The sequence below is a fragment of the Homo sapiens genome, chromosome 7 (assembly GCF_000001405.40).
Source record: "Homo sapiens chromosome 7, GRCh38.p14 Primary Assembly".
NCBI lineage: Eukaryota > Metazoa > Chordata > Mammalia > Primates > Hominidae > Homo > Homo sapiens.
Genome location: NC_000007.14, coordinates 17,528,717 through 17,549,566, shown reverse-complemented (window position 1 = coordinate 17,549,566; position 20,850 = coordinate 17,528,717). Strand labels below are relative to the sequence as shown.

General features: G+C 37.4%; 1 long non-coding RNA gene across 1 annotated transcript in view, besides 1 other annotated feature; it reads left to right on the top strand.

The window, feature by feature from the left end:
• LINC02889 (long intergenic non-protein coding RNA 2889) overlaps nucleotides 1-20,850 on the top strand; it is a 95,465-nt gene that overhangs the window by 9,343 nt on the left and 65,272 nt on the right. The gene's annotated exons all lie outside the window — the stretch shown is intronic.
• Nucleotides 2,628-2,922: a silencer, noted in NCBI's record as "tiled region #7324; HepG2 Repressive non-DNase unmatched - State 23:Low, and K562 Repressive non-DNase unmatched - State 24:Quies". NCBI's record gives its function as "represses a minimal TATA promoter and a strong SV40 promoter by Sharpr-MPRA in HepG2 and K562 cells {active_cell/tissue: HepG2 | K562}" and the evidence as "EXISTENCE:reporter gene assay evidence [ECO:0000049][PMID:27701403]".

Here is a 20,850-nt window from a genome sequence, read left to right as displayed (position 1 = left end):
ATGTCCTCTACATACACAATAAATGTGTATTACAGTTGCTTTCAAAAGTCAATTTTCTTTTAGAGTAATTAAAATGGGAAAAAGCCTTTTGTTCGTCTTTATTTTAACCAGTTTCAAAGATCTTTAATTCTTTGTGTAAATCCAAGTTTCTGGCTTGTGTCATTTTCTTCCTGCCTGAAGAACTTTCTTTAACAGTTTATAGTACATGGCTGTTGGTAATGAATTTTCTTTTTTGTATGAAAGTCTTTAATATGCTTTCTGTTTTGAAGGCTATTTTCATTGAGTATAGAATTCTCAGTTGCAAGGATTTTTTCCTCCTGGGCTCAAGTGATCCTCCCACCTCAGCTCCCCAAGTAGCTAGAACTACAGGCGCATACTACCAGGCCTGGCTAATTTTCTTTTTTAAAAAATTTTTGTAGAGAGAAGGTTTTGCCATGTTGCCCAGGCTAGTCTTGATCCCCTGGACTCAAGTGATCTACCCGCCTCAGTCTCCCAAAGTGCTTGGGACTACAGGCATCAGCCACCGCACTCAGCCTTAGATTTTTCCTCCCTCTTCTATCATGTCTTCTTACTCTAGTACTTTCTAATGAGAAATCTATTGTCAATTTTACCTTTCTGTAAACTTACCTTTAAGTAATGTGCCTTTTTTCTATGGCTGTTTTTAAGATTTTCTTTTTCTTTTTACTTTTCCACACCTTATATATGATGTGTGTGTGTGTGTGTGTGTGTGTGTGTGTGTGTGTGTGTGTGTGTGTGTGTGTGTGCTTTACTTGCCTTAAACCTCTGAGCTTCTGGGACTTATGATTTGATGTTTTATTAATATTGTTGGAAAATTCTTGACCACTATTTCTTCAAATATTTATTTTGTCCTATTCTCTCTCTCATCTCCTGGGATTTCAGCTGGTGTATGCTGGACCACTTGGTACATAGCCCATTGTCTTAGTCCATTTGTGCTGCCATAACAGAATACCACAGACTGGCTAATTTATAAAGAACAGAAATTTCTCACAGTTCCAGAGGGTGGAAGTCCAAGGTAAAGAGACTGGCATGTGGCGTCTGAGGGCTATATCCTCCTGAGGGAGGGAATGCTGTGTCCTCGTGTGGTGGGAGGTGGAAGGACAACAGAGGAACAAACTCCCTCCATTAAACCCTTTTATAAGGGCGGGTGATCTCATTCATGAGGGAGAGGCTTTTGTGGCCTAATCACCTCAAAGGCCCCACCTCTTAATACTATCACATTGGAAACAGCTAATTTGGGAGGGAATCCATTCAGATCATAGCACCCTTGTACACTCTCTCCTGTTTCAGCCACTATCCTTCTCTCTGTGTTTCAGTTTGGGTAATTTCTGTTGACCTATTTTCAAGTTTACTGATTTTTTTTTTTCCTTCAGCACTGTGTCTGCCTAAGTGATAATTCAGGGCAGTCTTCATTTCTGTTTCTTTGTACTTGTTTCTAGACTTTCCATTTGACTCTTTTCATTTTTAACTCTTATGAAAATCAACATCTGTTCATGCACGTTGGCTACTTTTTTGGCTAGACTTTTTAACATGTCATATTAATTTTAAATTTGCTATGTTATGGCTCATTATACAGGCCATCTCTGGCTTTGTTCATTGTTTTTTCTCTTATAAGTGTGTTGTTTTGTCCTTGTTTGTGTGTGCCTCATAATTTTTCACTGAATGCCAGATATGTGTAGAACAGCACAGCAAGAAACTAGTATTTATGCCTGGAATGGGCGCACCCATCTCTGCTAGGCTGTCATTTTGGGGTATTAGGTCATTCTACAAAAAAGTTGAGCCAGATTTGGGTTGTGTTGTTACTATGGCTTTATTCACTGTATCTCTGACTTCAAATTCCTCCATCATTACCTTGTGTTCAGGGTGGGGTCTGCAATCGGTTTTTATTAATATTACTGTACCACCTCATCATTAGACCTTCTCTGTGCACCCGTATTTTGGAGATGGTTTGTCTCTATTCTTGTCACTGCCACAGTGATAGGCTGCTATTGCCTATCATTTAGCTTCTGCTACTCTAGTAGGCAGAGGGGCTCTGTTTTGTTATTAAATAATCATGGAGAAGATTGAGATGGTACAGATTTCCCTTCTGTCTGAAATTTCCAGAAGTTCTGTATTCTCATAGTGGCCTACTCTTAGACTTTAAGAATGTATTAAATTTTAATGGAACTTGTCTTACTTACTTGTATGACAGCCAGCCCTGTCTTCCTTCTGCTCTCATTAGTAAGTCCATGCTCATGTTCTCTTTCTTCTTGAAGACACCTGTCTTTTCTTAGGTATCTAATTAGCCTAAAACTTCACTTCTCTAGGCTCAAGAAAAATTAAGATTTGTAGTATAGCTAGCTTTTTCTGATTGATAGGGTAGGAGTGACATTCTTTCCTCATTTGTACATCCCAGGAGAAACCAAAGTCGGCATAAGCTTTTAAGTAAAATATTTGTAGCATTTCATTTTTATTCATACCAGAATGGATGCTGAAACATTTTGATATTAACTATTTGATATTGATTCTGATAAAAAATAAAGCTGGGCTTACAGAGCTCTGAGCCTAGCTTGCACAATTCCCAAAAGGACCCAACTGTATATTCTACAGACGATGATTCTACATGAAAGAACCATATCCTTGGGCACTGAGTTGGCCTTCATAGTCATTTATTGCCATACTATGAGCATAATGAGTCACAGGCACACTTCTAAATATATCAACAGCTCTGCAAAGTGTTTCAGGGGCACATCCATCAATTATGGTCATGGGAAAGGTCACAATAGTACAGGCTTTCATCATAATTCAGCTCTTCCTCCCCAGTTTGCCTTGGGTGTGTTGAAATACTGTGATTGTTCAGTTAGAAGCATTGTTCATTTTTGAGGACTAACTGGAAATGAGTAAAATATCTGAGGGAGGCCATTCCATTTGAAGGCTTATTGCCTCATTCAAAAGCTTTTTTGTGTAATAAAAGTATCTCAAAAACTCTTCTGTGAGATTCACCAACCTCGTTCCTTCTAAGCCATTGATTATAATCCATAATTTCAATGGAAGAAAAGATCCACTGTGAACTTGGATGCTAGCCCTTTTTACTGAATTCCCCTCTTACACTCCTGTTAATAACAAAAGCAGTGTAGTTCTCAGCGCTGTGGCTCTTCTGTCCAGCACAGTGAGTATTTCTGAAAGTGTAACTCCATCAGCATCAAACAGTCCATAGAGTCCTCTGACATTTTAATGTAGCTCTAAAATACGGTACAATCTTACAGAAAGCTACTCTGGAAATTAGCCTTGGATAAGAGAAGATTGTTCTGAATGCTGTTCCCTTGAATAGTGTTCTTTTTTTTTTTTTTTTAAATACCAAAAGCAATGATCCTGGCAATATTCCACAGCCTGTACAAATAAAATTAGATATCAGGAACCAGAAAATCAGAAAACATTTCAAAATTAAATATTAAAAGATCTAAAGCCAACACTCTTAGCCGGAATTTTTAAGCCAGAATATTTTAGTTTCCCTTTGGTGAATAGTAATTTAAAGCAGTTCAGGCTTTCCTTTGCTAACTTTTAAAAGTTGTGTAGATTTTTCAGACCTCAAGATTATTCACCTAAATAATTGTAGGAACCTGTTACTATGTGCTGCCCACCTTATGGCATATCAGAGTTTCCTTGGAAATTAAAGGTCACATTTTCCCCATACTATATAGATTCAGAATGAATTCCAAAACGAAATCACACCTCTTTTTTTGTCTGCTTACAATTTGAAACTCATGTGCTTTCCTATCCAATTAATATGGAGGGTTTATTTTAGCAGTACTTCATCACTTCTTATTATTTGTTCTCCATGGATTTATATTAACAATGAATGGTGAAATAGTTAAACTACTAAGTTTATGATCACCCACAGCCCTGTGAAGGTCTGGAACCACATCATAAAAGCCATTTGACACAAAAGTAGAACATATTTATTTTGGAAGAGAAACAACATTAGTGGAGATTTGGATATATTTTTGTTTGTACTAGAACTAAATTAATCAAGCCAGAAAAGATTGCCTAGCAACATCTGACATTAAAAGATTCCATAACAAAAAATAAACCACATGAAGGATAAGATAGAAGACAGCCCAAATCCCATCCAGATAAGAGTCATACTCTGTAAATGGAGCTGCCTTTAACCCTAAAGAGAAAAAGTAGAAAAGAAATTAGAGTTAAATACAAAGGAAGAACTAAGTTAACATAAAGTAATATATATTGAGTACCTACTAGATTTCAGATCCTGCACCAGGACATGGCATACATCTCATTTAATCTTAAAATACTGATGATCTCCATTTACAGAGAAGCAAGGCAATGTAGTTAAATACCACTTAACCCGTAAAGCCTGACATCTATTTAGATTCTTGCTAGATTCTTATCACTTACAGAAACCTAGGCAAATTTGTTATCCTCAAATTGCAGCCAGAAAGTAGTATGTTTTGAAGAAACATAACTTTATAGGTTTGAAATCGTTTCTCAGAAAGTTAACTAGAATATTCAACTTTTCAAACTTTCTGATTAAATGAATTCTTGTTGCTGAAACAGACACATACATGGTGTGCCCGCATCAAGGCAGAATTCTATGGAGGCAGCACTGATAGGCAAAGTTGGCCAGGGCTACTGCCACTTTAGAGGGGAGGATGGTTCTGATGGTAAGAACCAAGAATTGATGGTTAGTGCTAGGTTTGGAGACTCTTCCAAAACTGTAAGTCTTTTAAATAACAGAATTAAAGTTTTTTTTTTTTGTTCTGAAAAAGCTGGAGAGGGAGAGAGAGAGCGAGTGTGAGAGTGTACAATATCAAGTTATAGCAGAGGAAAGAAGACATCAGCTAAAAGTAATTCTTAAGATGTAACACTCTACCAGAGCAGGGGGTCAAAGGATATGTTATCAATGGATTCATACATATGCTTGTTTTGGTAGTAGATGGAAACCCTGAAGTGGTGACTTGTGATCATCTTGTGATTTGGATGGTTTAGACATTTATGTGGCTTTCTTATTTGGCTACTTTTTTAGTCTGGGCATCTATGTTTGTGTATATGTGTGTTTTTTTTCTTTTCTTTTTTTTTTCTTCCTTTATGCCATGGTCCAAGCCACTGAGCACCCTTCCGATTTCTACCTCAGTGTTCTCAAGGGGCTACAAGGCTCAGATCCAATTAAGGAGCAGAGAAGCCTGTAAAGTAAAACCTTCCAGGGACCTGACTCTTCCCCACTACTCCATCTTCTTTCCTAAAGTCACTGTTTTCTTTAGAGTGAGCAGAACTAGGCTTTCCTTTAGGCTCTTTTTCCAATCTACACAGAGCTGTCAAGGTCACATTAAATTAATAAAACAGTTCATTTTTTTTTTAAAGTCACATTATCTAAGCTAGAAAGAAAAATCAGAATGAGATACAAGTGGGATCTAGAAAAGCTTAATGAGTTTAATTCTACTCTTCAAACTTGGCAGGGAAAAATGTTGGCTTTCTTGGCAGATAAGGTGAGCATTCTCTCTGTTCATCACCATATTGAGCAGGTGAATAAGTTGGCTCCCCTGATAATCACTCGGTCTTACTTCTAACGGTATTGTGAAAACATCTATTCTCTTTCCTGAATCTTTTCAGCAACAGTCTTTCTTCCTTCATCCCTCTGCACTTTCTCCCCTGAAAAACACAACAGAAGACATATCCTCCCAAGGTAGGACAATCTACCCTGGGGCAGTGGGCTCAAAGACACAGTAATCCTTCTTCTTCCTGTTTCACTAGGAGTTACACATATGCTCCCCTAGCAAGCTTCCCAGTGTGTTGTTAGGGACTAACCTTAAGGAGTCTGTAATTCTCAAAGCACCTTAAGAAATATCATTTGGGAATTTTCAAGGTTATGAGGTCTAAGAGAAATATCATAGTTTTGATATTCTTCTAGCATCTCTCAAAAAATTACATGAATCTAAAACACACATCCTCATGGATAATAAAAAGTATTTTTACATTTACATGGGATTATAAGTAAAAACAGTTGTCTGTAATGAGAAATCCAAAAGCATTTTGCCTTAGAAGAACAACACTGGAAGAGATTTAATCCTGTCGTTTAAGAATCCTGGGTTTTGAAGATTACTCAGGAAGACATCATCACAGTTCATTATAGCTGACTTGAGTAGAAACTTGAATATTTGAAGTAAATGTTTTATATGTGGAAAATATTTTGGAAGACTTACATTTAGATAGAGTTTCTGGCTACAATGGTTGATTTGGATTGAGCCTTTTGAGAAAGACTTATTTACAACCAAACTAGCTGTATATCAGTGTTTGGGCCAGGCAGTGGAGAATAGGAAACTAGGCGAAGTTTGATTGTGTCCTTGGCTACTGCTTTGTGCACTCTTTTGCTTCCCTTTCTTAGCAGCACATTCTCAATACTCAAAGAACTTCACCTTGAGGTGCCACAGAAAAATCTTATTGGTAACATGATCCTACCGGGTCTAACTGTGAGTCCCAAGGATCTCCTGCAAGTCAGGAATGGGACCTCCTTCATTCGGGCCTGCTTCTTCAAATGGCCTTATTACCAACTAAAGATTTCTCTGGAAATATATATATGTGTGTGTGTGTGTGTGTGTGTGTGTGTGTGTGTGTGTGTACATTTGAGGCCTGGTAAATGTGGGGAAATGGAATGGTTCCTGTGTTTTTCAGAACCATATGTTTCCTAAGTGACTATTGCTTATTTTCTTTCCACATTCTTCACACACAAACACTCCTGTTGAGTATATTTGTTAAGCAGAGTACCACAGGAATGTTGGTTTTCTGTTTACTTGTTCCAAATTGACTAGGGGCGAATTCCACCTGGAATCCTAAGTTTTCAAACAATCCTGAGCAGCTAGGCCAATGGCTTGGCGAGGGGGACATGCATAATAGGGAAGATCCATTCTCCATGTATGCCAACCTTCCTTAATCCCTGCAGCGAACGCTCAGTATTGTGGGGTAGGGGAGCCCTCTTTTTAGAAAATTTCGATATTTACATTGCAATCCTTAGTCATTGACTATCCTTTGCTTTGGAAGTAGACACTGTTCTGTAGATGCTGGAGGCCCATTTAGTGATGTTTATTAGAGACTACTGTCTTTGTTCTTTATGATAAAAGGAATGCAAGTTCAACTCGAACAACATCAATGAATGCAAACAAACCTATAATCTTACCATCCCAAATAATTTTAATACATTTTGGTGAATATCCTTTCAGTCCTTTTTAAAAAAGTTACTATGCATATGTGTGTATAAAAGAGGTGCTAGGTAGGAGAGGAGGAGAGAGCCGGGAGGGGAGTGGGCAGGCCTATTTGTCATAGTGCTTTGGAGCTTTCTCCTTTCATCTTTTAGCTCATTGTGGACATTTTCTCAAGATAATAAGTATTCCTCTGTTAAAGTGATTGTCAACCAGAGACAATTTTCACTGTCAGAGAACATTAGGTAACATCTGAAACCTTTTTTTTTTTTTTCTGCTACTGGCATCTACTAGATGCTGGGGATATACTGCTAAACATCCTACAACGCACAGGACAGTCCCCCATAAGAAAGAATTACATAGTCTAAATGCCAATAACGCTAGACTTTGCCATGGCAGATGAGCAGAAAGCAAAATGGTATGGCCTGAGTTTACATATAGGCATTTTTCAGGCCCAAATCTAAACCATCAGATTAAAAGGAAATAATATCTATAAGGGTTTAGCATACAACCTGGAATATAATAAGGGCTCTATACATTTTAGCTATTATTTAGGCTTAGAACCAACAAGTCTTCTAACTTCGCAGAATTCCCTCTCTGTTACGTCCTGCAGCCAGTCCAGTGTGGACATCTCTTCACTATGTCCTTGGTAATTGATTATCATTTTGGTCATGACAGCTCTGTTTGGTCAGAGCCTGAATTGCTATGCTCAGGGTCATGTCACCAATCCAATATGTGCAGCTGAACTCAAACGACATTGACAACAAAACAACCAACTTTTTAGAAAAGGCAGTCTCCTGTAATAGTACATTATATATACATATATTTCTTCCCCCCAAATGACCAGGTGAATGTAGATAAGGCTGTTCTTCTTCAAATCAGTCATATTTTTAATTATTCTTCAAATTATTTTGTATTAGAGTCTGATCCTTTTTCTTTCTCTTCATAAGCCAGGAATAGGTTTGTTGTATTGATGCTGACAGAAAATTCATTTTGGTATTCAACTTTTTACATGCAGTGTTCATATTTTTGAAAGTGTCTCTTGATCTGTGTTCAGATGTCTGCAAAGCACCTTTTTAGTTGCCTGGAGGGAAATACACATGCTTCCAATTTCCATTAACCTCACATCTCTCCAGGGAATATCTCATGCCTTCTTCATCTCTATACCCAGTGCCTACCACGGTGCCTAATCGTAGGTGCTTAACACACATTTATTGAATCAAACTGAATATGACACATTTCCCAGCATCTGAAATATCAAGTATTATAAAAGGTTAAATAAAATTGAAGAGGAATAGTTGTTGCTTTACTTTTCCTTAGCTTATCGAATCAGTCTTTCCTTCCTTCTTCCCTCCCTTTCTTTTCTGAGTTCCTTGTATTTCTGGGGCTAGGCAGGCAGTGGGATACAGTAAAAAAAAAAAAAAAAAAAAAAAAAAAATTCAGAATATCCAATCCTTTGACCATCTTAAATTTAACCAGTTGTGTTTACATATGATCTTTTCTGAGATCCTTTTTAAAATACTGTAAAGTGGGAGGTACAACATTTTAGTGTTGTATGTTGTTTTTCCTTAAAGGACCAGAAAGTACTGACCACACACAGACAGATTTTCTCTGTGTTCTGCTGTAAAGTAGATCACTATTGCTGTTTTCAGAAAATGAAGCCAGTCTAATTCCAAAGAGTTCAAATTTTCATCAGAAATATTGCATTGCCTAATCTCGCACAATAAACAACAAGATTCACTTTACACTGCAGAGATTCTTGGGAGGGTGGTAGTGTTCGCTTGAAGCAGCTCTTCTAGAGATGCTAGTAGTATCCATAAGTCACCAGAAAATTAGTTGCTAGTTGCATTTCTGAGAAAGTTAAGTCAGAGTCTTGAACCCCACCACATTCTCTATCCATTGCCTAAATGCAAAGCACTTAGAGCCCTGTTTGGCATAGCATCAGTACTGTACAATTGTTAGCTTTTTATGGAATAATAGCAGGCATGCTGGTCTTGTTTATTCTCTTATGAAGGAAATGCTTTCACATTTTCCCATCAAGTACCATGTTTACCACAGGCTTCTGTAGAAATATTTTATTAGGTTCCTTTCTATTCTGAGTTTTCCAGGAATTTCTTGAAAAATCATGAATAGGTACTAAATTTCATCTAATACTTTTTCTGTACCTGTTGAAATGATTGTGTAATTTCTCTCCCATAACCTGTTAATGTGTTGAATCATTGATTTTATTATACTAACTTTCCATTCTTGAGATAAAACCAAATTAGTCAACATGTTTTGCCTTTTGTATTTATTACTAGATTTGGTTTGCTAGAATTCCATTTTGGTGCATCTCTATTCAGAATGAATTTGACTGTAATTTTCCTTTCACTTAGAAACCTTCTCAGGTTTTAGGATCAAGTTTTTACTACTAGATTCAGAAAATAAGTTGTGAAATATTCCTTGCTCTTCTACTTTCTCGATTAATGTTTCTAGGGTTAATATTATATGGACCTTAAAATGATTGGTAGACCTTGCGTGTCATGTCATTTAGTCTTTGTGTTTTTTTGTAGAATTATTATAAACTGATCCATTTTATTAACTTGTGTGTTTCAGTGTCTTTTTGCATTTCTCCTTGAATTGATTTTGTTAAATTATTAAAGAATTTATTCATTTTAGCTAAGTTTTCAAATTTAGTGATAGAAAGTTGTTCAGACTACCCTTTCAATCTTTGCCACTGTGTCCCTCGTTTCATTTCCAATGTTTGTGAATTTCCTCTGGTCGTCTTGTTCAATCTTACTGGAGTCTGTCTTTTTTTTTTCTGGTTTCTCAGCCTCATTAACTTTATTATTTATTTATTTATTTATTTATTTTTAGTCTTTTTTTTTTTTTTTTAAGATAGAGTCTCGCTGTGTCGCCCAGGCTGGAGTACAGTGGTATGATCTCGGCTCACTGCAAGCTCCACCTCCCAGGTTCAAGCAATTCTGCTGCCTAGGCCTCCTGAGTAGCTGGGACTACAGGCGCCCACCACCATGCCCAGCTAATTTTTCATATTTTTGGTAGAGATGGGGTTTCACCATGTTGGTCAGGCTTGTCTTCAACTCCTGACCTCATGTGATCCACCCACCTCAGCCTCCCAAAGTGCTGAGATTACAGACGTGAGCCACCGTGCCTGGCCATCTTTTTGTATTTTGGTAAGTCTTTGGGGAACAGGTGGTGTTTGGTTACATGGGTAAGTTCTTTAGTGGTGATTTCTGAGATTTTGGTCCACTTGTCACCCAAGCACTGTACACTCTACACAATGTGTAGTCTTTTATCCTTCCCTCTCCTCCCACCCTTTCCCCACCGAGTCCCCCAAAGTTCATGGTATCATTCTTATGCCTTTGCATCCTCATAGCTTAGCTCCTAATTATGAGTGAGAACATACGATGTTTGGTTTTCCATTTCTGAATTACTTAAGCTAAAATAATAGTCTCCAATTTCATCCAGCTTGCTGTGAATGTCATTATTTCATGCCGTTTTATGGCTGAGTGGTATTCCATGGTGTATATATACCACATTTTCTTTATCCACTCATCGTTGATGGGCATTTGGGCTGGTTCCATATTTTTGCAATTGCAAATTGTGCTGCTATAAACATGTGTGCAAGTATCTTTTTTGTATAGTGACTTTTCCTCTGAGAAGATACCTAGTAGTGAGATTCCTGCATCAAATGGTATATCTACTTTTAGATCTTTAAGGAATCTTAAATCACACTGTTTCTCATAGTGATTGTACAAGTTTACATTCCCACCTACAGTGTAAAAATGTTCCCCTTTCACTACATCCCCACCAGCATCTATTAGTTTTTGATTTTTAAATTATGGCCATTCTTGCAGGAGTGAGGTAGTACCTCCTTGTGCTTTTGATTTGCATTTCCCTAGTACTTAGTGATATTGAGCATTTTTCTATATGCTTATTGGCCATTTGTATATCTTCTTTTGAGAATTGTCTATTCATGTTCTTGGCCCACTTTTTGATGAGATTGCTTGTTTTTTTTCTTGCTAATTTGTTTGAATTCTTTGTAGATTCTGGCTATTAGTCCTTTGTTGTATGCATAGTTTGGGAATATTTTCTCCCACTCCATGGGTTGTCTGTTTACTCTGCTGATTATTTCCTTGGCTATGTAGAAGCTTTTTAGTTTAATTAAGTCCCATCTATTTATCTTTGTTTTTGCTGCATTTGCTTTTGGGTTCTTGGTCATGAAGGGTTTGCCCAAGCCAATATCTAGAATGATTTTTTCTTCTAGAATCTTTATGGTTTCAGGTCTTAGTTTTAAGTCTTTGATCCATCTTGAGTTGATTTTGGTCTAAGGTGAGAGACGAGGATCCAGTTTTATTCTACTACATGTGGCTTGCCAGTTATCCCAGCACCATGTGTTGAAAAGGGTGTCATTTCCCCACTTTGTTTTTGTTTGCTTTGTCGAAGATCAGTTAGTCCCCTACTCCCAACCTGCTGGGATTACAGGCGTGATCCTCCTCACCCAGCCACATTTCTTAGTTAATATTTTTAGTTGCCAGATAGAAGAAGTTTAAGATTTTAAGCCAACTGAGGGGGGTCGAGGCTAAGTGTTTAATTTTAAATGCCTTAAATAGCCAGTTTTGAACATCTTTAAAGGCCAAATCCTTGTAAGGATTTGGCATTATTTCTGTGTTCTCTATTCTGTTCCATTGGTCTATGTGCCTATTTTTACAACAGTATCATGCTGTTTTGGTGACTATAGCCTTATAGTACAGTTTGCAGTCGGATAACGTGATGCCTCCAGATTTGTTCTTTTTGCTTAGTCTTACTTTGACTCTTTGGGCTTCTTTTTGGTTCCCTGTGAATTTTAGAATTTTTTTTTCTAGTTCTGTGAAGAATGATGGTGGCATTTTGATGGGAATTGCGTTGAATTTGTAGATTGCTTTTGGCAGTAAGGTCATTTTCACAATATTGATTCTACCCATCCATGAGCATGGGATGTGTTTCCATTTGCTTTTGTTATCTTATGATTTCTTTCAGCTGTGTTTTGTAGTTTTCCTTGTAGAACTCTTTCACCTCCTTGGTTAGGTATATTCCTAAGTATTTTATATGTTTTATAGATATTGTTAAAGGGGATTGAGTTATTGATTTGATTCTCAGCCTGGTCGCTGTTTGTGTATAGCAGAGCTACCAATTTGCGTACATTAATTTGGCATCCTGAAACTTTGCTGAATTTATTTACCAGTTATAGGAGCTTTTGGAATGAGATTTTAGGGTTTTCTAAGTATATGATCATACCATCAGCAAAGCAACAGTTTGACTTCTTCTTTACCAGTATGGGTGCCCTTTATTTATTTCTCTTGTCTGGGTGCTCTGGCCAGGACTTCTAGTACAGTGTTGAATAGAAGTGGTGACAGTGGGCATCCTTGTCTTGTTCCAGTTCTCAGGGGGAATGCTTTCAACTTTTCTATGTTCAGTGTAATGTTGGCTGTGGGTTTGTCATAGATGGCTTTTATCACCTTAAGGTATGTCTTTTCTATGCCAATTTTGCTGAGGGTCTGAATCTTAAAGGAATGCTTGATTTTGTCACATGCTTTTTCTGCATCTATTGAGATGATGATGTGATTTTAAAAAATTTTCTATTCTTTAAAAATCAGCCTTTGGGCATTTGATTATCTCTATTATATCTGTTATATGTTTAATTTTTATTCATTTTTGTTCTTTCAGTTTCTTTTCATTTCTTTAGGTTGTGTTTATTATGTTAAGTTGGTTTAAATTTGTCTCCACATTTTTCCTTTTAAAAACTGGTCTGTCTGTCTATCTTTCTTTCTTTTTTTTTTTATTTTATTTATTTTATTTTATTTTTTACCAAGTCTCACTCTGTTGCCAGGCTAGAGAGCAGTGGCACAATCTTGGCTCATTGCAACCTCCGCTTCCCAGGTTCAAGCGATTCTCCTGCCTCAGCCTCCCGAGTAGCTGGGACTACCGGTGTGTGCCACCATGCCCAGCTAATTATTTTTATATTTTTAGTAGAGATGGGGTTTTACCACATTGGCCAGGATGGTTTCAATCTCTTGACCTCGTGATCTGCCCACCTCAGCCTCCCAAGGTGCTGAGATTACAGGATTGAGCCACCATGCCCAGCCACATTTCTTATTTAATATTTTTAGTTGCCAGATAGAAGAAGTTTAAGATTTTAAGCCAACTGAGGGGGGTCGAGGCTAAGTGTTTAATTTTAAATGCCTTAAGTAGTCAGTTTTGAACATCTTTAAAGGCCAAAACTTGATGATGAGCAAATGAGGCAAGCAGTTGTCTCTGCATTTCATAGGGCATGGCTAATGACTGAAGTGTCCTCTCTTTATACCCTGCATGTTGTAATGAATGATGTCATCAGAAAATTATCCCTTTCTTCAAGCAGAGGTATTAATCCTTGGATGTTACTCAACCCACAGACTAATTAAATCCTTATTTTCTCTCTTCTCTTTCCAAAATTGTATCAATCATTGAGATATAGAATGTACATATTGTAAAAGCCTTATTGGTAGAAGCATCACATGACTGAGTAGTTTCTTCTATCCACTTGTCCATGCATAGCAAAAGCAGCATTTTATACATGGATTATAAATTATATTTTACTGTAAAAAGCAAAAGGACAGCACAAATCTGATCCTGATTTGCAACATTTCCTATTAATTGCTTACACAAGATACGTATTTCAGTACTTTTCCAGTCCATTTCAGAGTTTCTTCTGGAGAAAAACATTTCCATGTTTAAGGTGCCATCATTATCTGTGAATTAGGGACTAAAATTAACTGCATTGAAAGCCAGTGCTGTCATATTTGTGATTTTAAAACAACTGAAGTATGAGATTTTCCTCCTTTAAAATCTTTCTTCCAAATAAATTATTTTAATGACTATGGGCATGTTTCCTATATAAAATGTGCCTGGCCCATGGAAGTGTTTAATAAACTTCTGTGAATGAAATGAATACGACATTTTTTATTTGAGAATTCCTGCTATGTATTGTATCTGATGCCACAATTTCAAAGGCATAACTTGACATTCTGTAGTTTCCGGAAAAATATTTTTGTAATTCCAACAGCTACTCGTGACAACACCTGCAGTACCTGGGTGGTGGGGCTGAGGTTGTGAGACCCTGCCTGTTAAGGCATTTCAAACCAGTATTGAGGCTATATGTAGGACTTGGACATAGTCCTGGTACAAATTATTTCCCTCCAAACCAAAAGAGTATATAAATTCAAACATGTTCAAATTGATTTATGTGCCTGATATTTTAAAAAATGAATATTTCAAACTCTTAAAACTGTCCATTGTGTTTCATTTTTGAGGAATGAGCCTTTAACACTAGCAAAGATGTTTCCTTAAACATGTCAAATCTCATTCTATATAACAGTATCAGATGAAAAGGGACTTATATTTTATTCATTTAGCAATGTGTCTGCCATTTTCTGAGGTGTGTGGGCGGGGGGTGGCTTGTGGGAAAGATAGAGTGTTGACCAGTGGTGATTTCAATTCCTAGAAATGAAAATGTTGCTAGCTTTGGAGACAAAACCATCTTGGATTAGAGACAATCACCAGGATTGACACTATTTACACAAATGTAGTCAGGCACCCACCATCAACCTACCCAAAATCTAAAATCTGTGAGGTAATATTCTGTCTGAATGCGGATGCTAGGTCCTGGTATATTATATTTCCAGTTCAATAATGTGAATTGGAGGTGAAGGTAGTTTGACTGTGATTTGAATAACAAGAATAAATAAGTGATTTCCTGGAAAGAAGAGATTGCATTGGATTGCAATGAAAAGAAAATTATTTCAGATGGATTAAGCAATACTTTGGGGAATACACTGTAGCCACCTTTGACAAGGCGAGCTTCTTCTACTTAATCTTCCAGTTCTTCAGCTGTATGTAACATGATAGGCAATCTATTATTTTGTTCAATCTTTGGTTTTTCATAATAACATCGTCACCTGTTTTTCTTAATGATTTTCCTCTTGTTTTTGTTTCTAGTATCTGCTGTATGAGAACATTTTATATGCTTACTCTCAAATTTTATTTTTGATTTAATAATTCTGCTTTTTCCAATAAACACCTTTTATGGTTTGAATAGTTTCCCTTCCAAAACTCATGCTGAAATTTAATCTCCAATATAGTGGTGATTACCTCACCTCCAACTGAGAGATGAGGTCTTTGGGAGGTAATTGGATCATGAGGTCTTGGCCCTCCTGAATGGATTAGTGGATTAATGGGTAGTGGGTTTTAATGGGTTATCATGGGAATGGAACTGGTGGCTTCACAAGAGAAAAAGAGCCCTGAGATAGCACACTCGGCCCCCTCACCATGCGATGCCCTGTGTGGCCTTGGGATTCCTCAGAAAATGCCCACCAGCAAGAAGGTTCTCACCAGATATGGCCCCTTGACCTTGGATTTTTCAGGTAAGGAATAACTAAGAAATAAATTCATTTTCTGTATAAATTACCCAGTTTTTCATATGCTAAGCAACAGAAAATGAAGTAATACAACATATTTTTTTCTTTTAATGATTATACCCCTAAGATGCTGTATTGCAGCTCCCTTTAAGCTCATGTTACCCAAGGCACGATAGTTGCTTAGACAGTAATATGTGTGAGGATGACCCTCTTGATGAGTTTAGTTGGTTTAGAGATGTTGGTAGTGATTTTTCCCTAGAGGTGCCTTTTAAGAAGACCGTTGGGATGGAGTAAAGGACAGAGTGGGAGGATGGGAGAAGGACATGCTCAGGAATGGACAGATTTGCTTATTCCTGTTGTTAACTCTTCACCTTCCAGCCAGGCCAGAATTGTGCTCCAGGTATATTCAGCCACCTTCAGTGGGCACTGGATGGGCCCTGGCTTTCCTGTCTTGTGGTGGTGATATGTAAGGCAATGATGTGCTCAGAGGGATGCAGGAGAGAGAAAAGGACACACAAAAATCGCTCTACCCCATCCACTGTGTCTTTGAATCTGGAGGGTTGCCTGAGTCATAGTGGAAGAAGCTGGAAAGATGGGAGACAGGCGAACAAGAAAGCAGTAGCTATTGGGTGACTCAGGAGTGTGGTCAGTCCTTGTGTATGGCAAAGAACAAGGAAGGAGATATTTGTGCAACAAATATCACCACTTCCTGGTCCTTCCTATCAATAAATCAGTTCTTGAAAGCACTCCCTCCCTATTCTTGTATTCATGACTCTTACCTGAACAACCTAATTCACCCTGCCAGGGACAAAAAACAATTCAAGAAACCTTTTCTTGGATCCTTGCCTTCATTGTGCCATGGTCCACAGGAGGTTGTATAATTTATTAGTGGGCCTTTTGTGTTTCATCATTTATGTCCCTGTCTGATGAGTAACCCATTTTATTTTTTAGGCAGCTGATGTGGCAGTTGCATCAACAAGCAGCTATAAAAACTAAGCATCTGTAAATCCTTTTGATAAATATTTGTGAAGTTTCAGAATCCTCATGTCTGATCAGTGTAAATCAGCAAGCAAGACAGTCTCCTAGGAAAGCCATTTGGAGACACAGTAGTGCGTTCTGACCATGGGAACTTCCTCATGAGGGTCAGGGATAAGAAACTCATGAGGTCTTCAGCAAAGATAAATTAGCCTTCACAGAAGCAGATGCTTCAGACTACTGATACTAAATTTTACTGGGTCAAACATTGAAAACCTCGCTTCTGAGCAAGGAGAAGTTGGAGGATCAAAAGTCAGGTTGAAGGGGGCAAAATAAGAGTCCATAGAAGACGTCCCTGCAGTTTGCCGTCCTCATTGAACAGAGGCAAAATTCTACATGATGTGGAAGAAAATTTTAAATGGGGTTTATGTAAATTTGCAACTATAAATAAGCAAGGTAAATAGACTTTAATATAGATATACCCTTTATGATATTTTCCTGAATTTTGAACATGGACAAAAAAATCCTCCCCCCCGCAATATATTTTTCACTTGAGCAATGCCTAATATTACCTGCTTTGTTCACTAAAAAGATATTAGAAAGTAAAATCCCAACTGGATCAACAACCTAATGGGCTAGACTCCGCAGTATAAAATTAGAAAATAGCTTCATTTTTCTCCTACCACTTTTGCAAACCTCTCTGTTAGATATTCCTTCCTTTTTCCTCATGATATTTTATGGTCACTTTCAGTTTCATTTTTTTCAGGTATTAAAAGCGCAGTCTGGTCTAAACTAAACTTGTGATATCAAGTTTAAAGCTTTTCCCTTTCTTTTGGGCCTGACCTAGAAGGTTGGGCAAGAGGTGTGGTGAGTCTCTCCTCTCTTTCTTGTTCCATATCCTTCTGACATGAAAGATGTCATGGTGGTGATGTGCCTCTGGATCTTCCAGGGCTAGATGGGACAGAGGATTAAGACCTATTAAGACCTAGAAGGCAAAAAGAGTCTCATGTACTTAGCTGGTACTGTTTGTAGAGCTTACTTGGCTGTCATGGGCTCTCTGTCATGGCAGGCTCTTTCTTTAATAGGGCACTATCGTGGGTTTCCTGGTCATTTCCTTGCTGCAGGAGTTGCACTTTCTGGTGAACCCATTTCCTTCTGCTCTTTTTGCCTGTTGTTGTTATACCTGCCACCCCACAGTTTGACTTGCACTGGGATCACTCAGATGTGCGAACAGCTTGTCTGAGTGAACTTCTTTCAAGGTTACTCAATCCCAGTGGTCTTCTATAGTCTTCCAACACTGGGAATCCGGGCCACTTTTGAGGAGTTCATCATTTTATCTAATTGTTACATCTTGGAACAGGTTCAGCTTCTATAGCCCAGGAAGTATGATGGTAGCAGGGGGGCGTGTGTGAGAGAGATTTTGGTGAGAGAGACTTCAGCAGTTTCTGCTCATCCAGTCATGGCCTGTAAAAGGCAACATTTATGCTGGTGGAATGAGGCATAGGCCAGCTGAAGACATTTACATTGTTGTAGTTCAGCATCAAACCCAAATAGCCAAATGAAAATTTCTCAACATTTGAAGATGACTTTTGGAGACAAACTGATGTATTTTAAGACTCAAATGAATCTGAGATGATGTCCACTAACTACCATTCAGAATCCACACAGGGGTTCCTGACTGGACCAATGAGAGTGTTTTGGTTACAAAGGAGGGTTGAGAATGTTTTTATCTGAATGTGCCTGTAGGTGTCACCAAAGTAAATGACTCCTTTACCCTTGGTTTGATAACGGGGGCAAAAAAGTAGAGTAAAAAAATGATATTTTGTAAAGCCTACAGGGGTAAAAAAGTAAAGTAAAAAATGATATTTTGTAAAGTCTGTCTATGTTGTTACATTGACACCACAGAATAGCAGCAACAAGGTCATTCACAGTAAAGTCTGCAAATTCTCCTTCGATTTTGCAATTACGATTTATCTAAGACGATGAAAGTATACTTGGCAAGGGAACAGTCTTCAGTGTATAGCAAGCAAGGAAAACTCCTTTCTCCTCCCCAACAGACACGCCTCCTTCAAGACAGGAGAAGTTTCTTCTTTACCTGATTCTAGTCACTCATTAGACACACTGTCTTTAGGCAAGGAATACTGATGCCTCATGAAAGAAAAAAAATTACATGGGCATTGGTAGTTAAAGAAGAAAAAAAGTGAAGACAACATTTAAAAAAATGATTGGGAAACATTCAATTCCAAAAGTATTTAAATTTTTTTCCTCTGTACTTTTTTTTTTTAAACTATAAATTTTGATTCTTTAGAAAAAAATCAGAAAAGATTTTTTCTTTAGAAAAAAAATCCTTCCTTTTAAGGAAGGAAAATCCACTGCAAAATGATCAGCTAGAAACTCTTATCTCTGAGCTTTCACAGCCAGGGAGGGTAGGTGATGTTACCCAGAAAGTACTTGGACTTGGCACTTGTATTTCAGTACTGTGAAGGATGTTTCCAGCTGGGCTCACATTCTGTACGTCAGTCTTCTCACCAAGAGGCTAAAACAGCATTTCATCACAGAATGGCCAAGACTGAGACCCACTGAAAGAAGAATGCTCAACAAAAAGGAATTTACACAGCTCCAGCGCCATGTTAACAGAGTGTGAACAGCCTTTCTTATGTTAGCAAGAATTTTGTAGGCCTAATGAGAAAAAGAATCCTCTCTAGAAACTTCTGGTATTTAAAGTGAAATCTAAGCAATTGAAAGACACAGAGAATAAAGTCTCTGGAAATGTTATTTGTCAGTGAAACATGGCTCAGGACAAGAAAGACATAAAATACTGAGAATTATCAGCAGAACCTAGAAGAAAAAAAAAATTCAGACAAGGACAGACTATACTTGTAGTTATTCTAGAATAAGTACTACATATTGTGTGAGGAAGAATTGAAAGTTGACTGTAAGACTTCATTGTATATACTTTGTGATAAATAAGCATATGCAAATACTAAGAGTAATCTTAGGTATTTCAAAGTAATATCTTCAGATTCTAAGTAAGCATTTAAGCATTTTCTACTGACTTTTTTCCTTATAAAGCCCTATGCCTTTCTGGTATTATTACCTATAGATACATAGTACAGTCATAATTCTGTTGTCCAGATTGAAAAAAAAAAACAAAGTAAACAGCATCTTTTACAAAGTTCTGTCATAATGAGACTTATTTATGTTTGGAACATTTTTTTCTCTTTGGTAATGTTGCTCAAAAAATTATTCCACTCAGTATATACAGTAAAAAGTTTTAAATGTGCTTTAAAAATTTTTCTTAAAGTTAAAGATAGAATTACCACATGGCCCAGCAATTTAACTCCTAGGTGGCATATACCCAAGGGAAATTAAAAAAAACATATGTCCACACAAAAACTTGCGCACAAATGTTTAAAGCAACATCATTCATAGTAACCAAAAGATGGAAAAAACCCAAGTATCCATCAACAAATGAATGGATAAATAAAAGGTAGTATATCCATATAAGGAAATATTATATGACAATAAAAAGGAATGTGGTGCTGATACTTGCCACAACATGGATGGACCTTGAAAACATTACACTAAGCGAAATAAAAAGCTGATCAAAAAAGACCACATATTATATGATTCTATTGAGATGAACTTTCCAGACTAGGCAAGTCAATAGAGACAGAGATGGCTGACAGGGATGGGGCGGTCTGGGGAGTGGGAAAGGAGATTAGGAGGTGACTGCTAATAGATATGGGAGTGACTTTTGGGGGTGATGAAAACATTCTGGAATTAGATAATGGTGATGATTGCACAGCGTTGTGAATATACTTAAAAACTACTGAGTTGTGTCCTTCAAAGGGGCAAATTTTATGGTATGTGAATTATATCTCAATTTAAAAAGATGGATTGTTTGTTGGACATGATGAATTCAGTTTGAATTTCCTTCATTAATGCTTCCATGAAGAGAAAGTTTCTCATTTGATCAATTAAAGAGTGAAAGGGTAGTCATAGGATTGTACCTCTGTCTTACTTGTAGGGATAGAGAAAAATGTCTAGGAGACATGTATTATACTGGGGTAGACAGATGGATGTGGTCTTTTGTTAGTCACTCTGAAGACCTTTTTCCACTGTGCAGCCTGTCAGTGAATACAAATAAGTCATTGCCTAAGGTAAATGAATCACATTAAATTCAGGGGGTGAGGAATCCTAAAATAAACAGTGGATTTATATTAAAAATAACA